The 12,272-nt window shown below is 50.3% G+C and overlaps 1 protein-coding gene and 1 non-coding gene across 13 annotated transcripts in view; one reads left to right on the top strand and one right to left on the bottom strand.

Annotated features, from left to right (window-relative positions):
• Positions 1-12,272, bottom strand: part of STXBP1 (syntaxin binding protein 1) — an 84,118-nt gene that overhangs the window by 3,127 nt on the left and 68,719 nt on the right. For 6 of the 12 annotated variants that reach the window (NM_001374309.2, NM_001374310.2, NM_001374312.2 and 3 more), the window contains 2 exons: positions 10,343-10,497; positions 204-2,128 (listed from right to left, as the gene is read on the bottom strand). In NM_001374309.2, the coding sequence (NP_001361238.1) occupies positions 2,046-2,128; positions 10,343-10,497 (238 nt within the window). In that variant the 3' untranslated portion in view covers positions 204-2,045. Of the gene's footprint in view, positions 1-203; positions 2,129-6,365; positions 6,446-8,409; positions 8,536-10,342; positions 10,498-12,272 lie in introns of those variants that run through there. The other 6 variants (NM_001374308.2, NM_001374307.2, NM_003165.6 and 3 more) reach the window with 3 other exon arrangements.
• On the top strand, positions 2,108-2,216 carry MIR3911 (microRNA 3911). Its single transcript, NR_037473.1, has one exon. It is a non-coding gene; the product is annotated as a microRNA 3911 (primary transcript).

Below are 12,272 nucleotides of genomic sequence, written 5' to 3'. Positions count from 1 at the left end.
GCTGCTAGGGGCCCAAGACAAGCTCCATGGCTAGTCCCCAGTGTAAGGCGGCTACAGATCTAACGCAAGCAACGGGGACCTGGGTCCAGAAGACTCCATGCCACAGCCGGAGGTGGTCGCCTCCTCTGCGATGAACCACTGCAAAAGCTTTCTCCTTCCGTTGCCCAAAGGAAAGCCAGACTGGAGCCCCCTGGACACCGGGAAGGGGTGCTGATTTCTTTATTTATTAGACTCAAGTGCTTTAGTACAGAATGGTACAGAGATGATATATGTTTGTGCTTCAGTACTTTCAAACACTGAGATTCTGATAATTTTAAGGTAAACAAGTTTCAAGACAGACTAGCTTTTTTAAAATATCCTTTTGATAAATTATTTTTATATAAATAACAGAGAAAGGGAAACCAACATCTTCGACAAACAAGGTCCTGAAGCATGAGCACTGTTTGGTCCGAGGGAGGGGACAGAACAAGCAGCGGGAGTAAGACGCCCGGCGCAGGTGCCTGCGGTTCCGTCCTAAGGAAATCAGGTCGTATAAGTTGGGAGGGAGACGGGGAGAGATCTGACGACTAATCTCAGTGCAAGGGGAGATTTCAAAGCCTTGAGAAGAGAACACCACAATGCAGCGAGCAGAGAGGGCGGGGAGCAGGCTCTGAAAGGGAGGCGGAGGTGGCGCCGAGCTCGCGTACAGCACTTTGAGAGGACATCACTAGACAAGTAATACACACATGGCCTGCAGGAGGTCAAGGGCGGCGAGGGGGCTGGGCAGGGGACATTTTTGTGACTTCCACTGTTATTATATTTCACGACAACAGCAGCAGCACAAATGGTGTGCTCACCACTGGAGAATGAGAGCTGCTGAGTCTTGAGGATGGCGAGACAGCCTTCCTGCATTTGCTGCTTTAGTTTCTGCTTTAGAGCTAAGTTTTATACAGAGAATAAAATGACCATCTTCTCTTACAAACACGATGATGTATGACCCCACACAACACAAGGTATTATGAAGTATCTGAAACTGAGGATAATCTGACTGAAGATGCTTGCCGAGAGGGTACAGGGTCTGTGTGAGTCCAACGGGCCAAGAACCTTCTCCACAGCCATAGCCCTCTGTTCAGGGGCCTCCAGAACCCATCTGTTCTGGTCCATTCCTGACCCTTGAACGAAGGCGGACTAGGGAAAATGAGCTGTTGGGATGATGCCTGGGGACAGAAGGGCCTGGGCCACAGGCTCCAGACTAACTGTTTTTCCAAAGAGATGGAGGCTTCCAGCGGGAGTTTGCTTCTCACCTGTCAGGGCACTGTGACTTAGACTGGAGGACTTCCCTCGGGATCACAGCACTGTGGACACAGGCTGGGGAGGGGGCAGTGACAGGCTGTGGAGGAGGACGCTGGCCTGACTTCGTGCAGACACCCCAGCCTCCACCCACAGCTGCACTACCGGGGGTATGAGACGCTGGGAAAGGCAAAGAGGTCTGTTCCACCTTGGACCTCCTGAGATATCCTGATTGTCACCTCCCAGGTTATTTGGATGAGAGCAGGCACTGAGGGGTAGGGACTGGAATGAAGATAGCAGATTAGTCCTCAGTGTGAAATACTCCAAGAACACAGACATCTCTATGATTCTCAACAAGGACAGGAACAACCCCAAACAAGGTTTTAAAAACACCCAAATTTCTACCGTTCCATACCCAAGCAATGTGCACGTCACCCAGGGTTATGTACAAGGTCACAAATCTTAAATAACGGGGAGAAGGCGTCCATTCATCCTAACAGTCCAGAAATTTCTCCTGCTGTGCACCAATTGCACATGAGCTTCTCTTTTTAGGATACATGTATAAGATACTCTTTTTAAAAAACACAATGCATTATTTTCTTTTGTTTCAAACAAGAAGAGGGCATCACTGAACACGAGAATGCAGCGGCAACAGTGCCAGCCAGGGCGTGCAGGGCTGGGGAGGCAACAGACGCAAAGGAACTGAGGCGGGCGGTGGTGGGAAGCTGCGGAGCGCTGTGGGATGGGGGCGTGTTTTGGAGGGGCGACTTATTTTTTTAACTGCTTATTTCTTCATCTGTTTTATTCAGTTTCTTCAGTGTGTCCAGCAGTTTCTGTGGGGTGAGGATGTGTGTGGATCCTGGAGGAGGCAGAGAAGACAGTGAGCTTGCCAGTTCTGGTTTCCAACACTTCCTTTCCTGCGCTTCTCGATTCCCAGATCTGCACCCACCCCCCTCCCCAACCCTGGTCTGGGTATAGTGGAAGCAGGGAGGGGAGTCAGAATTGGGGTTGGGGTCCCGTCGCAATAGGCCTGGGAGATATTTGGGGGCTGTGGATAAACAAAACACATCCTCTGGCTCAGGCAGGGTCCCAGGCTGCACCAAGGAACGAGCTGCCTCACCATCAGGGTGCAGAGCCATCTGCAGGTGATGGGCAGCTGCGTTTCTAATTCACTCTTAAACTCCAGGTGAAGCCAGGGAGAGAAATTCCAAACATGGCAAGGCAGGGAAAGGCTGAAAATGGGGCCAGAGTTGGTAGGGGGACCATGTGTGGAAAGCATGGTGCCTGGGAGAGGAAGTTGATAGGCAAAGCCCCCTGGGAGAATCCACTGACCTCTGGGAGCCAGCCAGTTGGTACTGCCCTGGTGGGTGGGACCTCAGGTGTGAGAGGGAAAGGGCCAGGGGACCTGAGGCCTTACCTTGCAGAGACCGCGTATTGTAAGAGATTAGAAATGCTTGCAAAAATTTAAGCTAATGGAATTAGATATACTTCTACTGCAAAAATAAAAATAAAAATAAATGAAAGTCTTTGTCATAAGGAGAGAGAGAGAGATCTAGTAAGTGCAGTAAAAAAAGATGCATGGGTCGTGTGGTTTGGACATGGACTTAAACAGAACAGAGGTGACCGGGGTGGTGTGTGGGTGAGCATGAGGCCTGCACGCATGCAGCAGTGTGCTTCAAAGAAAGGTCCTGGTGGGAGACAAGAACTGAACAAAAGAGACACGTACTTGAAAATGTGCCTCCCTGGAGACGTGGCAAAGGAATGGGCCTTCATGGGAGCAGGGGAGCGGAAACCACCGGATGCTGGATTTCCACCCCAAGGGCAGGCAAAAGAAGGCTTTGGCTGGCTCACTGGGCATGACTCCAATACCAGGGTCCCTATGCCTTTGACCACTAACTACTCGCTCAGCTGACCGAAGACTGCTGGAACTGCAGCCCTTCCTGGTCACTCCAGACTAGCAGAAACTTGGAAAGCCGTCTCTGTTCTTCCAACATCCCTTTCTCTGCAGTTCAGGCCCCAGCTGCCCACTCCCAGCTGAGTGAGGAACTTGTCCTCGGCATGATGCCCTGTGCACGCAGCCTGTAGGGGCCCTGCGCTGGAAAGCTGACTCATCATTCTGCAGACCTGAGGCCCCTTCAGCAAATGCGATGCAGGTTTCAGGAGTGTGTCCCTGGGCTTTTTTATAGCACTCCTTTCCCCTGAAGTCCACTCATTTCTGTGACCTCACCACTCCTCCTGCTAGTCCTAAAAGAGGCCAAAGGCTGCTGTACAAATGAGGAGAAAGGACGCATATTACAAGGCTTGCCCCAAACTCTGAAGAGTGAACCATTGCCAGGATGGGGGCCCTCCAAATTGCAACTCCATGTAGCCCACGTGTCCAGATGCTGAAAGACAGCCTGTCCTGCAGAGCGTGAGGATTCGCTTGGGAGCTTCCTCGTTACAAGCAACAGCAAGGAGCGCACGTGCCAGAGAAAATGTCCCCAAGGCCCTCCTTAGCCATCCAAATGACTCCAGGAAATAAGAGGGCAGACTCATTTTAAAGGAGGCATCCGAAGGGGTTCCTCTGATCAGATGCTGATTCCAAAGTCCTCCCTATCTTTGCTGATATGTAAATCTAGGATTTGGGAGAGGCCAAAGAGAGGTTAGGGAATTAATGCACTAGAAGTCTCTGATATTATTTAATCACTGACCATTCATTGCTCCCAGTCTTGACTGAAGAACAATAATTCTAGGACTGAGTATTGGAGACAATCAGTGAAGCCTCGAAGACCCTCAGCAACAGGCTGTGGCCTAGGCCTTCACCTACGTGGTTTCTTTAAGGGGACCAGACTAGCTGGTGTAAATGCTGATCATCAGAAAGCCAATTCTTCAAAGTCAGTCATCTGTGTTGTTTTAATAAATTGGTCAAGCTTTTCACCACCATAAACATTGCAAATTAAGCTGAGTGAGTCCATAATCCACATTTTGCACAGTTCTCATTTTGAATCCACAGATGGCTGACCATGTTGGTTTTCCAGAATAAAGCAGCAAGTGGGCCCTATTGCTCTGAGGGTCCTATTTAGTCCCTATAACTGGACGATTATGAAATGTAAACAGTGGTCTCTAAAAACTAAGTTGAGGCCCATCTACATGACTGTCTACATGTTTTCAAAGCTGTGGGCCAGACACCGCAAGCTCTGATGGGACAAAATCCTTCTTTCTACACGGACAGAATCTGAAAACCAAAAGTGTTCTTGCAGGCTAGCTGGTCCAATCATTCTTGAGTTTGGCTGAAGCAGACCTACTGACTCAGAATATGCAGGGCGGCGCCAGAAAATGTGTACATTTAAAGAGCAGCCCAGGTGAGTATGATCATTAGCCAGGTTTGGAAAACTGTGATCCGGCCCACCCTTCTCATCCTACACATGGGACACGTGAAGGCCAGAGCAGTCAGGTGCTTGCTCAGGGTGGGTGGCACAGACAGGTCCAGAAGCAGTGCCTCCAGGCTCTTGATTCTCGGGACCCTGTGGCCCCTGGGAGGGGAGGGGATGGGCAGGTGGATGCTTGAATAGCAGCCAGGCAATAGGTGGGCTCTGAATTCAGATTCAAATCTGAGTCCCAAAGAAAAATGAAACATACCTGACCCCAATCTGGAATGAAGCAAAATAATCAATATAAAAACCCACCAACTCTCTCCCAAGTGGCCCCCATGTACTGCAAAGACTTGATCCAGTCTTCAGCTCTCTCACATTTGCTTCTCACAGTCTCTTGGGCATTCCCCAAAGAAGAGTACTTTTATCATAAACTAACCAGAGCAGAGAGGTGAAAATCTAATCAAAAGATTTCATTTTTTAGACAATGTGGAGGGATGACTGGTGAGGATTTAGTGAGAGTTGTTGGTTAACCCTGACCTCGGGGGAGCCAGCGTCAGCTACAGGAGGGAGAGGAGCTGGGAAGACAGGGCATGGCACCATCACCCATGCACGGTGTCTGCTGAGAACCCTCTCATTTGCTGCAGGAAAACTCATCCTCTCCTAAAAGATATGTTGGGCCAGGTGCAGTGGCTCATGCCTGTAATCCCAGCACTTGGTAGGCCGAGGCTGGGGGATAACTTGAGCTCAGGAGTTCAAGACCAGCCTGGGCAACGTGGTGAAACCCAGTCTCTACCAAAAATACAAAACAATTAGCCAGGCATGGTGGCGCATGCCTGTGGTCCCAGCTACTAGGTGAGCTGAGGTGGAAGGATCACTTGAACCCAGAAGGTCCAGGCTGAAGTGAGCTAAAATCATGCCACTGCACTCCAGCCTGGGTAACAGAGTGAAACCCTGACTCAAAAGAAAGAAAGAAAAAAAGACACAAAAGATATGCTGCCATGATACTGGTCTTTAGGACACTCAAGTTTTCTGACAGTCTGCACTGTCCTGTACTTTGGTCACCTGGACGATCACAACAGAAGAGGGCAAGTCAGACCTTAATCTGCTTTCTGACCTCACTGGTATTAGGGCTCTGTGCCTTGCTTAACTGAATGCTCTAAAACCCAACACCACTCAGCAAATGATTTCAGAAGCCAGGAATATACGGAGTCTGTTTACGTTCTCTTTGTTTTGATGGCAGCTGAGACCTCTGCTGAGCAAATATAACGCAAAGGAAAATACTCTGCAAAGGAGAAGCTTGTTCTGAAGCAGGGAAGCTCAGAACTCATCCTAGCAGGAGCCTTTGCAGTTTGAGTCTGTGCTCTTTCAGATCCTGCAAGTGGTCTGCTATTGCTGCAGACTCGACTGAACATTTGTCTTTCTAGAAGTCTTAAAATACATACTGCAGCAAATCCATCCACCTACCTGCAGTCTGCACACAGAACCAGATGTCTCTGATTTACAACCTATCAGTGCTTCTAAGGAATGATTTTTTTTAAAACAATGGCTTTTATTCACCACCTACTGGCCTTGCTTTCTAGGGAGGGCCAGCCCAGGCAGGATGGGAGCTATAGCCTAGGGCTATAACCAGGTCCACTTTCTGGGTTCCCAACTACTTTCAGTTCCTTAGCACACTGCTGCCCTGACATTCATATCAAGGAAGGGAGAGAGGAGGAGATAAACAGCGTAGCCTCCTGTTCCTACCTTAGGAGGAAGCCCCATTTTCCTTACATACACAAGCAGCTTCTGATGTCACCTAGCCAAGGTTCTGAAGGGCCATTCCCCTGAGGATCACCAGAGAGTGAGAGAGTGAGCAGGACTGCATGGTTTGAGGCACAAATCGTAATCACTGAATATACAGAATGTCAGAGGTCCTGCGTGCCTGGGGGCACACGATCCACCCTCCCTGTGCTCCTATGCTATGGCCAGAGAGCGAGGGTATCTTCCCACAGCCACACAGGTGCCCATGGAGTAGCTGGAGTAGAGGCCAGTCCTCCTGGCTCTGAGTCCAGGTCTCTCTCCAATGCTCACAGGGGACTCATGCTCTGTGACTCACTGGGCCACATCTCAGCTCAGGTGAAGGGGCTTTTCCAGGGTCCATTGTCAATGATATACACAAAGTCAGGTACACAAAATATGGCCTCATGAAAGAATATGTAACAAGCTAAGGAGTCACTGATGTGATGATGGAAGGCTGCCATTTAAACACATAGAAGGTTCTATCGTATCTGAAGGATGGAAAGAGAGAGGAGGGAATGAGGACAGTTTTGAAGATCAAAATTTGGATAGTCGGCTGGGCGCGGTGGCTCACGCCTATAATCCCAGCACTTTGGGAGGCTGAGGCAGGTGGATCACCTGAGGTTGGGAGTTCGAGACCAGCCTGACCAACATGGAGAAACCCCATCCCTACTAAAAATACAAAAAAAAAAATTAGCCAGGTGTGGTGGCGCATGCCTGTAATCCCAGCAACCTGGGAGACTAAGGCAGGAGGATCACTTGAACCCAGGAGGCAGAGGTTGTGGTGAGCTGAGATCATGCCATTGCACTCCAGCCTGGGCAACAAGAGCGAAACTCTATCTCAAAAAAAATAATAATAATAATAAATAAAAATAAAAATAAATAAATAAAATAAAATTTGGATAGTCTACTAAGCAGACAATAGGTTCTGGGTAACAAGCTTGGTGGGAGACAGAAGATGCTCTCTAAAACCACACAGAGCATTAATAATAGGTTTATGCTGGGCACAGTGGTATGGGCCTATGGTGCCAGCTACTCAGGAGGCTGAGATAGGAGGATCTCTTGAGGCCAGGAGTTTGAGGCTGCAGTGTGTTGTGATCACACCTGTGAAGAGCCACTGCACTCCAGCATGGGCAATATAGCGAGACCCCGTCTCAAAAAAAAAAAAATACATTACTACTGACAGGCTCTCAGACCTTACCAAGGGACTTCAGTGGGAGAGAGAGGGGTATGACTACTCAACTCTTGAAAGGATCCACAGAATTAAAAGTAATTAGTAAAAGAGCAAATGACTGTTAAGTGCCGTTTCCTGCAGAGGAACATGAAACAAAAGCTCTTCCCGCTAAAGATTGGGGTTCCCCAAGCAGATGGCGGCTTGTGACCCAATTACCCCTTTTAACTTATTCCTTGAGAAGTGCCTGTCCTAGGAAAAAGGTATTCACACCATCCGTCCAGCTGCCACTGACCTGGGGTCTATTCTACATTGCCTGCCAAGCTTCCCTCACGACCAGCCATCTCCACCACCGCCTGCCTTCCTGGACATGGTGTTCCCTGAATGTCCACTGGCCTCGCTCTCAGACCCCCACACCCAGCACAACCAGGACACTCTACATTCCTTGTGGGGGCCACAAATTCATCCCAGACCAGCAGGGTTGGGCACTGTGCCTCAGGCATCCCCCAAAACTTCAGCTCCCTCTCTGACAACTGTTCACAGCAGTCATTATCATTTTTAGTTTCCACCCAGCAGCCTGCAGGCGTCTGACTAAGCAGTGCGGAACCCAAGGCATGGGTGAGCCAGCAGGTCAGAGCCCAGAGGGTTCATGGCAGGGCTGTGAGGGCAGCACTGGACACATTTTCAATCGGTGTTGAGAACTGCAAGCATTTTCTTGTTGAAACAAAATCAAATAAATAATAAACTAAAAAGGAAGAAATAAAGAAAAAGAGTGACGGAATAATCAAAGAAAGCCCTTCAGAGTGGAAGAGTTTCTTTTCTGTAATAAGCTGCTTTTACTTTGTTTCTTTGGCTCTCACTCCATTGTTGGAGCCTGATCCTCAAAAGATACCCTAGAGGACTCCCTGAAGTCGGGGTGTCTCAGGTCCATGAGAAATTTGGTGGGAGTAAGAATGTGAGTAGAACCTGTGGGAGAACAGAGGCCAGCTGACTGCTTGAACAAAGGTACGTCACAGGAACATGCCAACTTAGGCCTACATTTTATGCAGCCAATGAGGTATGAGAAAGCAAGACACACACACATGTGTGCGCATGCATACACACACACACAAGCGCGCATGAACACACATGGTAGCAAGGAGGCTGGCATGCACAAAGCAGGGGAGGCCACACAGCGGACGTCAGCTGTCTGCGCGAGGCCCCTCCATGAATCTTCATGGGCAACTGCATACCCCCAGGTTCCCACCTCCCGATATATGGAACCTCAAGTCAGGTCTAAAGATGAAGGGGAAGATTTACACCCAAAGCCTGGCTGTGACAGCTTCTGTCCAGAAAAGCTGTGTTTGGGCTCAGAATTACTCACTACATTCATGCAATACATATGCAAGCAGGGAGCAGAGAGCTTTATCACCGGGGCTACACAACAGAAGGGAAAAACAGTTATGTGGAGAGCTGGTGACCTGACACGGGAAGCTTGAGGGCTGCGGTGGGGAGGTACAGTCTCCCCACTGGATTGTGCTATCAGAGAGGCGGCTGACAGCCCCAGATCCATCTTGAAAAACCCAGAAACAGCCATGTGGACTGGTCTATGGAGTCTGCTCACTTGGATAGCTTGGGAGGGGGGGGGTGCTGCGACTTGCTCACCCCAAATAGGAGGTATAAAACCACCACTTGTTATCGAGATCATGACTGTGCCTGGGATTAAGACCAGTGGTGGGCACCTATGGGAGAAGGTCAGCGATGCCTCCCAGCTGGGGCAGCTCAGGGCCTCTCCCTGTAGCACTTCATGTGTAAGTGGCCTGAGAGGCCATCCTTGGCCCTGGAGAGTATAATTCCCCACTGTGCAGAGCACACCCCCTTCCAAAAGGAGGCCAAGAGCCCTGGCCTCACTCCTTGCTCAGCGTGAGCCTGTTTCCACTGAGGACAGAGCCCAGCCAGGGTAGTGAACATGACAGCTTCTTGCCAGACAGTGTTGAGAGGGACTCCCAGGCTGGCAGGTACCCTCCATTTTGTTAAGGGCAAAACAGGACAAAAAGGGAGGCATCTGGAGAAAGCAAGACTTTTCTTAGCTCGTTCATCTTCTTCCAGCCCTAAACATCATAGAAGCCCCCAAAAGGCACGAAAAAGGAGAAAAGGCTCCTGCTGCGTTAAGCTAGCTCCTACAAGTCGCTTCCTCTCTTTTGGGAAACGAACAGGAAATACGAGAAAGGGCATGGCAGACCTAGAAAGTGGTTGGAGGTGGCTGGGGGAGCCCTGGGCAGAGTCCAGCGGTCAGGCAGTAGTTTCAGGCAGCACCTGCTCACAGCTGTCTGTCCATCTCCACCTGACAGGGCAGCGATTGACTGCCATTCACTGCCCATTCCTGCCTGGGCATGAGGCCAATGCCAGGAGACTGACAGACCTCATCTTGGGCCTAGTTCAAGGCTGTGAATGAGTATGACTGATCCTGTTTTGCTGAGTAAGGAAATGGTTGGAGAGCTCGAACCACTTGCTCAAGGTCCCCCACTTGCAGTTTGCAGAGCAGGAATCTGAGCCTGAGTCTGCCGGACCCTGGGATCAGGCACTTCCTACCTCATGAGGCTGCCTTCCATTGAGAGATGCAGCAGGGCAGACCAAGGAGGGAACCCTTTGCCCCTAGCTTCTGCTGTCCACAGTTACCTAAAGACTAAGTTTTGTGGGTCAAGGGAGTCTATGACAGAATGCGACACCAAAGCGTGGAATGGAGTTGAGGTGCGATGCGGCGGCGCCTTCCGCTGGAAGCACGGCCACTCACCTATCAGCACCTCCCACTTTCCGTTGGCCTGGGTCACCTCGTAGGCGCAGCGCATCTCATTCAGGCTCACACCCCCAAGGATGAAAATGATGAGGCGGGGGCCACTGCGGTACTCGCCTGGGGCCTTGTTCTTATGCCAGTGCCCATAGCGGGCGCTGAGAAAGAGAGAGAGAAAGAGAATGTCAGTCAGTTTATCTGCACTCACGGCATCTAGTGCTTCATACCCCAGTGGTTTGTTTACTTATTAGGTCTGTACACTTGTGCCCCAAACAGTGTAGATGCTTAGTGAGTGCTGGCTGAAATTTCACTGCAATGCAATTTTCAAGTGGATTGGTTCCCAGGAGAAGAGTCACTATGAATGCCTGTGCTGCTGTGACCTTGTCACTCTTAGAAACATGCAGGCAACAGACAGGATCAGTTCAGCTCTGACGTTTGCTGGGTCAAGTTCTGTAGCATCCCCCTGCTAGAGGCTCATGCAGACGTCTACCCCAAGTCACACATGCCTCTGAGCTTGCCTGGGACACTCTGCTGTCAGTGCACAGTGATGACAGTCTAAGATCTGCCTTCAGGCTGGCACATAGATCCCTTGAAAACATGTACTGAGTGAGTGCCTCTTGGAGGCCAGGGCCTCCCCAGTACCACATCCTAAGGAGACACAGGCCTTGACCAAGAGGTCATCATTGAATGGGGCAGGTGGGGAGAAGGAAGTGAGCCCAAATCCTGGTCTGATGAAGAGCTCTGTGCTATAGGGCCAAGCACAGGGAAGCCCTGGAACCCTGTCCGGGCACCACTGGGGAGGCTTCTCCATCCCTGAGCTGCCTCCTGGAAATTGCGGCGAAGCCAGGGAGGAAGAGTACTTCAGTGGCAAGGCTGCTCCCAGAGGGGCCTCCCTCTGAACCTGGGCTTCCTTCAATAGCTCTTTACCTTTGACTGAGAAACAGGAATAAATGGGTTGTTCCCAGGTTAAGAAAATGAGAAAAATGAGATGAAAGGAGCAAGTCCTTTCTGGCCACTGCAATGCGTCGCCTTTCTTCCTGACTCATGACAGCTTTACAGTCACTTTCCAAACCAGGAAGACACCGTTTGGGGCACCGTTTGGGCCAACAGAGAATCTCACAGTTGCTTTCTTTCCTTGTGCAATCATTTGATATCCCATTCTCATCACCCAGCCTGACTGTGGCGCTACTTGGGATTTTGTATTTTATGCCATATTTGGCAAAAAACGTTTTACCTCTGCTGCCATGAGAAGGGCTGCACAATGACACAGAGGCCACCACAGGCCTCTGGCCCAGCTGAAGCCAAAAGTGAACACAGAGAGAAGAGACGCAAAAGAGAAGACAGGTGGGGAAAGCAGGAGAGGAGGGACAGAGATGTGCACATCCTGGGGTGCCAGGTGTGGCACAGCTGCAGTGCCAGGGTCGCCCTCTCGAGCTGCTAACTCTACCATCCCGAGTGCGTGCTCAGCCCTGACTGTTCTCAGGAGCCACTGTGTGGAGAGACCACGTGTGTTACCCACTCGTCAGCTGGGGGACATGTGGGCTGCTCCACACTTGGACTGCATGAGTAAAGCTGTGAACGCTGATGCACTGCAATTTTAAACAGGGTGGTGAGGGAAGATTGGAGAAGGTAACACTTGATTAAAGACCAAAGGAGATAAGAGGCAAGCCATGCAGACATATTTTTTCTTTGTTTGACATGGAGTCTCGCTCTGTCACCCAGACTGGAGTGCAGTGATGCGATCTTAGCTCACCACAACCTCCGCCTCCTGGGTTCAAGCAATTCTCCTGCCTCAGCCTCCTGAGTAGCTGGGACTACAGGCGTCCGCCACCATGCCCAGCTAATTTTTGTATTTTTAGTAGAGACAGGGTTTCACCATGTTCGCCAGGCTGGTCTCAAATGCCTGACCTCAAGTGATTCACCCGCCTTGGCC

Source organism: Homo sapiens, chromosome 9, assembly GCF_000001405.40.
Source record: "Homo sapiens chromosome 9, GRCh38.p14 Primary Assembly".
NCBI classification, from domain to species: domain Eukaryota; kingdom Metazoa; phylum Chordata; class Mammalia; order Primates; family Hominidae; genus Homo; species Homo sapiens.
Note: the sequence above shows the minus strand (reverse complement) of the source record. Positions and strands in the feature narration are given on the sequence as shown.